The following is a 7,721-nucleotide window of genomic DNA, read 5'->3' on the forward strand; positions in this document are numbered from 1 at the left end:
TGGGTCGGAGCCACAGGGCTCTGGGCAGAGACTGCGGTTCCGTGTTGGGGGAAGGAGGTTAGGGAGTCAGGAAAGATCTCCATCATGTGGGGGCCTTGAATTAGAAGTTCAGCAAGTGCCACAGACTGATTTCACATCCCACCACAAGTATTTATTGAGCACCTATTGTGTAATAGGCACTGTGCCTGGTGCTGGGATACACGGGGTGGTAGCACAAAGGAAGACACTGCCCAGGGCTCCTGGCCTGGCGGGGACACAGACAAGGGCCCAAGGGATGGCAGCCCCAAGGGGCAGGGCCAAGCTGGGCCATGCGGAGGGTGCCGTGGGACTGCCTGGCAGGAGCATCTGTCCACCCTGGGGATCAGTGCAGAACGTGATTCCATCCTGATGGAAAAGACGTTTCGGCTGGGAGCAGAAAGATGAGGAAAGCGCTGCTGTGTGGCATGGGGCCAGCTGCTTCCCCTCCCTGAGCCTCGGTCTCCTCACCCACAAGCGGAGGGACTTGGAGCTCTGCTCTCTCAGGTTCTGGTGGCTCTGATGGGATGTGACACCCATGACATTCCCAGGAGCTGAGAGGATCTCCTGCTACTTGATAACCTGGAAGGCCCGTGAAAGCTTAGGGCTCTGTCAATGTAGGAATCAAGGCTGTGGAGGCAGATTAGCAGCAGTCCAGCCCCGAGCTGGGACCTGCTCAGCACGCCTCCTCTGCACTGGCATTGCCTGCATGTCCAGGTCCTGCCACAACTGCACACTCCACCTCCCAGCTCGAGCCCCGGGGCCCTCTGAGAGGAGGCAGAGCTTCTCTCTTGGTCTTTGCTGCAGCTCTGCACCCTCCCCAGCCGGCCCAGGAGCCAGATGGGACCCGGCCGAGCTGCAGAACACCGTGCACCTTCCTGCAGTCCTCAGCCTGGGACCTGAGGAGCACAGGCTGATGGCCTGATGCGGCTTCCAGACAGAGCTCAGCCCACTCTTGGGAGGTGCCAGCTGCCTGGGTGGTCTGGTATCGGAATGAAATCCAGAGGCCAGAAGGAGCCCAGGGTTCAAATTGCCACCAATTTCCTGAAAGTTCCTCTAGAGCTCCGGGCAAACCCACCAGTTGATTGCGGAAAATAACAGACCCCTCACTTAAAACCAGATGTCAGCATCTGTCTTGAACCAGCCCAGGGAGAGACAGAGGCCCCTGCTCCCTCCTTTTCCTCCTCCTCCTCTCCCTCTTTTTCCTCCTCTTCCTCCCCCTCCTCCTTGTCTCCTCCTCCCCCTCCTCCTTCCCCCTCCCCTCCTTGTCCTCCTCCTCTCCCCCTTCCAACTCTGCAACCAGGTCAACCACAACCTCTGGCCACACAACAGACCCTCTGCAAAGGAAACAACTTAGCTGGCACCTAAAAATATTGACTTGTGTTTTTCTTTAAATAGAAAGGAAACTCAGCTCACTCCACCCCAGTGCTCCTCTTTCTGGATTCGAGTGGGCACCCTGGGACCTCACCCAGACTCAGCCGCCCCCTCACTGAGCCACCTCGGTTTGGAGGGATGGAGCCATTCAGGATGGAGGAGGGAGTGGGGCTTGCCTGCTCCTGAGAAAGGTCTCCTGGGGCAGGGTGGGAGTGGGGCTGACTAGATATCTCAAAGCCCCATTCATCCAGAGAGGGATGGCCTTTGATCAAGGAATGGGGTGTCTCTGTGGCACACATAAATCGGAGGATGAGGTGGTCACAGTTACCAGATGATCCATAAAGCAAGAAGAGTGACAGGGGCCAGGCACAGTGGCTCATGCCTGGAATCCCAACAGTTTGGTAGGCCAAGGCTGAAGGATCACTTGAAGCCAGGAGTTTGAAACCAGCCTGAGCAACATAGAAAGACCCTGTCTCTACAAAAAAAAAAAAGCTAGCTGGGCATTGTGGCATGTGCCTGTAGTCTACAGGCACTAACTGGGAGGCTGAGGTGGGAGGATCACTTGAGGCTGCAGTGAGCTAGGATCATGCCACTGCACTGCAGCCTGACTCTAAAAAAAAAAAAAAGAAAAGAAAAGGAAGGGGGTGACAGGGAGGCTCTGATGCCTCAAGCAGCCAGGCCTCACCCAGATCTCCTGGGCTTACTGAGCTTACCCCGCCCCAGATCCCCACTTGGGCCTGTCTGAAAAGCAAGTTGGTGGACAGTGGCTAGGGCAGGAGCATCTCCTTCTGGGTTGGGTGCCAAGGCTGTAAGCTCTGTCTGAGAGTAGAGGCCCCTGGGCCGGGTGGCTCTACTCCTGCATCTGTGGCTGGCCTCATGAGGGCCCTTGAGCTCACACAGGCCCCTGCAGCCGGGAGCCCCTGCTTGATAATGAGGCACAGCCATGCGATGGGAACTAGGGAGAGACCCTGATGCGCTGATGGAAGCCATCTCCAAGTAAGGCTGTTGGGGGAAAGAGGAAAGAGGGAGCCCCGTGTGTGGTGTGCGGTACCCACCTTGGAGAGCACAGATGGGTCTGAAAGCTCTGGGCGACGCCCAGGAAGCTGACCAGTGGGTGACTACTGGAGAGGGGAATGGGGATTCCTTTTACTGTCGGAATCCCCTTTTCTCGATTTGGTTTGCGTTTTCATCCAATAATGCATGCTGCTCAGTTCTGAATGTTTGTGTTCCCCCCAACCCCTAAATTCCTCTGCTGAAATCCTAACCCCCAAGGTGGTGGTATTAGGAGGTAGGAGCTTTGGGAGGTGATGAGGTCATGACGGTGGAGCCCTTAGGATGAGATTTAGTGCTCTTGCGAACGTGGCCCCAGGGAGCTCCCTTACTCCTCCACCACGCGGGGTCACACAAAAAGAAGCCAGCCCTCAGGGAACACCAAATCTGCCAGCACCTTCATCTTGGACTTCCCAGCCTCCAGAACTGTGAGAAATAAAATTTCTGTTGTATATTTCTCTTTTGCTTATAAGCTACCCAGTTTACAGTACTTTGTTACAGCAGCCTGGATGGACTAAGACACATGCAAATAGTTTTTAAAATGTCAGAGTGCTACAAGTAAAACAAACAAAAAAAAAACCCAACCACTTCCTACCCCACCCCTTCCCACGCCCAACTGCTACACCCAAGAGGTGACAACTTACTATTCTTTTTACCTCTTCTGATATTTACTGCCGTATTTCTCAATAGCCTGCTTATGCTTCTGTTTTATAATCTTTTCATTTTTGGCATTACCTGGGTTCAATTCCAGGTGCTGCCACTTACTAACTGTGCAACCCTGAACAAGTCACTAATCTGTGCCTCAGTTTCCTTATCTATGACATGGGATCATAGTACCTACACCATAGGGCTCATGTGAGGATTAAAGGAGTTTACACATGTAAGTATTTATTCTGTGCTTGGAACATAATAAGCTCTCAATTAAGTGTTGGCGCTATTATTATTATTACTATTAACTTCCAGGTATGAGAGATGAGGAGTCACACTCTTCTTCCAACTTCATGGTATGGTTGTATTACAACTTTTGATTAATCAATATTCATCATATTATTATCGGTATATAAATATTGTTTACAGCTGAGCCATGTAGTGTACTATGATTAAATTTCCTTTATAGTTTATTTTTTGCTCTATTTTTCCTGTATGTAATTATCGCCTTGTCTTTTAGTTTCCTAACATGAGATTTTCCCCTCCAAATCACTGACAGAATTGTGACTTTTCTGTCAATATAACCAATATGTAAGGTCACCCATTGATTCCACTTCTGGAGCCTGTTGGCCTCCTCCTCCTCACTGCAACCTCCGTCTCCAGGGTTCAAGTGATTCTCCTGCCTCGGCCTCCTGAGTAGCTGGGACTACAGGCATGTGCCACCTAATGTTTGTATTTTTAGTAGAGACAGGGTTTCACCATGTTGGTCAGCCTGGTCTTCAACTCCTGACCTCGTGATCCGCCTGCTTCGGCCTCCCAAAGTGCTGGGATTACAGGCGTGAGCCACCGCGCCTGGCCTAACATATTTTTGTAAATGAGATAGACATTAAACAAATCAGTAAAAGAAATAAGTATTAACAATTGTGGTAAGTGCAATATAGGAAAAGCAAGAGTGTTTGACAGGGAACCTAATCTTACTAGGGAAAAGGGCAGATCAGCAAAGATTACTTGAAGAAGTGATATTTAAGCTGTGACCTCAGTGAGTAGAAATTATCCAGGTTAGAAGGTGGTACAGAGTCTAAATACAGAGGAAAAAGAAAGCAATATATGAAAGCAGTATGGTATGAAGGATCAACCGGGGATCAGAGGGTACAATGGTAGAAAGGTGTGTGACTCAGTGTGATCAGAGGGGGGCCCATGGGAGCCATGAGAAAAGTAAGCAGCAGAGGGTCCTGTCCCAGAGTCCTCTTCTGTGGCCATGGCAGGGCCAGCGTGTGTCACCCCATGGTGAAGGTGGGCAGGTATGCGTATGTCCTTCCACAGGAGCCTAATGCTAACCTTGGCAGGGTCCCCTGGAGAAGGTTTCCTGAAGGCCACCTCAAGAGGCGGGGGCTGTAGCCCGTTAGACCTACAGACTCCCAAGTTCCTCCTTCGGTTCTTCTCCTGCTGTCTCTTTGTTTCCACTTGACTCAGTTTTGCTCAAGCAAATGTCTCCATTTGTTCAACAAACATTGTTTGAGGACAGTAGAAGATTACATTAGTGTTCAAATGTTTACTGTCCCCCTACCCAGTGAAGCAGCATCCTTTTCCGCCCCATGGCCTGGGGCTCGACCATAGGACTTGTTTTGCAAAGCCACTGGAAGTGAGTGGATGGGACTGAAGCCGAATTGAAATGCACTCGTTCCGACAGGCTTTCCTTCTCCTCCTCTACCATTGCCAGGAGAACTTCCAGGCCTCCCACTGCCCTTCAGCCCAAACCCCAGGACGAACACATGCAGAGCTGCTCTGTTTGGGCCAAGCCCAGGTAGCCTACATGCCAAAGCAGTCACCCAGTCAAGCCCAGGGGGACCCGCTGAGCCCCCTCCAGCTACCCTGCAGAAATGAGAATGAGAACAAATAGTTTGAAGCCACTGAGTTTGGGGGTGGTTTGTTCCACAGCAATGGATGACTGATACAAGGGACTACCACGGCTCAAGGTCCCACCCACATAACCCTTGGGAGTTCAGTGGGAAGCAAAGGCAGACCCTCATGAAATGAACAGTCTGGCGAGATGTAGATTAGAATCAGACAAGAAAGTGTGAAAATCGCCCCCATGACAAGTGCAATGAGGGGTTTCATGGGAGCGTGTGCCATAGGAGCAGTGAGCAAGTCAGACCACAGAGAGTCTGTGGCCACGTAAGGTTTTTGGACTCTATTTTAAAAGCAGTGAGTGGGGGTCTGAAATGTGACTTTGCAAAGATCATTTCTGCTGTCGAGTGGGAAACAGATTGGGAGGGGCTACGAATGCCAGGAGGGTGAGGAGGCTCGGCAGTCAACCAGGTGAGAAGTGATGGTGGCACGTGGCTGTCAAGGTCACGATCAAGGTGTGGGCAAGGCTGTGCTCTCTCTGAAGGCTCTGGGGGAGGATCCTTCCTTGCCACTTTCAGTTTCTGATGGTTGTGGGCAATCATTGGCATTCTTTGGCTTGTAACGCATCACTCCAATCTCTGCTTCTCTTCTCTGTGTTTCTGTGTTCAAATCTCCCTCCTCTTATGAAAAGGACACCTGTCATTAGATTAAGGCCTGTCCTAATCCAGTATGGCCTCATCTTAACTTGGTTATGTCTGCAAATACCCTATTTCCAAATAAGGTCGTATTCACAGGTTCCAGGTGGACATGAATTTTGGGGGCACACTCTTTAACCCAGTACAGAGTGGCATGGGGTGGGGGCAGAGGATGTGACAGGGTGGACAGTGTTGGGGGTTACTTGGGAGGGGGGGAATGAATGGAATGCGGGAGGGGGCCACCGGTGGGCCATCTGGTGCCCTATTCTTTTCTTGACCACCTTCTGACCCTTCTGTCTGGCCACGGAGCCAGTCCTTAGAGCCGACGTCTGCTCATTTCTTTGTCATGTGGTCAGGCTTGTCCCTGACTTGCACAGATCCTTTATGTGGCTATTGTTCTGCTTATGATCCTTACTGGGGCTGTGAAGGCAGCACCTACCCTTTTCTTTGCCACTTGGTACTCCCAGTGCTCTGGGTTCAGAAGAGTCACTGTCAATCTGACCTGGGCCAACGTGCAGCTTGGCTTTTGAGTTCAGGGGTTCAAGTCCTGGCCCTACCACTTACTGGCTTGGCGACTCTGGGAGATCTATGTAACCACTTTGTATCTCAGCTTCCCCACCATAGAGCGGAGATAATCGTAGAACCCACCTCCTAGGAGGGTCACATGAGATGCTCCCAGTACCATACAGAGCATGGTGCCTGGCACATAGCACTCAATAAATTTTAGCTTTGAAAACATCTATTGTCATTCTATGGGTTTGGGTCCCTTAATTATTTCTTCTTCCAACCTGATATCTCCTGAAGAGAAAGATCCAGGACATCCCAACTGAAACAGCCCTCCCAGAGCCGGCATCACTGAGTTTTCAGCTGGAATGTGCCAAGCTCTGTGCAGAAGGGTGGCAGGACAGACTGGGTGTGGTGGCTCACACCCGTAATCCCAACACTTTGGGAGGCTGAGGCAGGTAGATCACTTGAGCTCAGGGGTTCAAGACCAGCCTGGCCAACATGGTGAAACCCCATCTCTACTAAAAAATACAAAAATTAGCCAGGCATGGTGACGGGTGCCTGTAGCTCCAGCTACTAGGGAGGCTGAGGCAGGAGAATCCCTTGAACCTGGGAGGTGGAGGTTGCAGTGAGCCAAGATCATGCCACTACACTCTAGCCTGGGCAACAGAGTGAGACTCCCTCTGAGAAAAAAGAAGGGTGGCAGGACTGACGCTCCAAGCTCCTGGGCGTATTTTTCCAGGAATGAGGCAGAATGGGAGCTAATTCACTCTCATTCTCCAATCTGGTCCCTCATGGGATCAACACTAACTTTAAAACCTCCCAGCACAGAGCAAGGCATACAACTTACATCCAATAAATGCTTGCTGAATGAATGAGGCCGTTGATCCTCTGGCTGGGGACAGGGGCATCCTGAGATGAGGATGGAGCAGAGAAGCTGGACCTGTCGGTTTGGACTCTTTGTCAGGGTGTTGACCAAACACAGCAAGCCCTGTGGTGGGGAACAGGAGGGTGAGATGTATCCCTGACTATTGGAAGTCTCTGATCTGTTATTTGAGACAGAAAGGTGACCTTTTCTAGAATATTTATATAGAGTCTTAAAATTTGAACTGAAGCCACTGAATACAGGTCTTTCTCCCTCTCTAAGTTTAAAAAAAAAGATCACAGAGCAAACTTATATAAAATGATTATTTGTTAACACTGTTACCATCTGGAATGATCTCATTTATTGTTTACTATTGGTCTCTCCCACTGAAATGGAAATTCTCTAAGGCCCAGAGCCTGGTCCATGTTGTTTATCACTCTCCAGCATGCAGAACAGCACTGTTCCATATTTATTCATTAGGTTCCTAAATTTTTAATAAAAATAAATACTGAAGGGCCAAATAATAAATACTTGGAGGGGGTTTCACTTTGATTGTTTAATGGAGTTTTACTACATTAATACTATTAAAATTAATTAATTATATTATAATGTATATTCAAGATGTCCCATGGATAGAAATAAACTGAAATACTGTTAAAAGCAACTGGTGAAGATTTAAGATAGGCACCAATATCACAGTCTGCTGTTACTTCACTGTGTTT

Source organism: Homo sapiens, chromosome 1 (assembly GCF_000001405.40).
Source record: "Homo sapiens chromosome 1, GRCh38.p14 Primary Assembly".
Classification (NCBI taxonomy): Eukaryota; Metazoa; Chordata; class Mammalia; order Primates; family Hominidae; genus Homo; species Homo sapiens.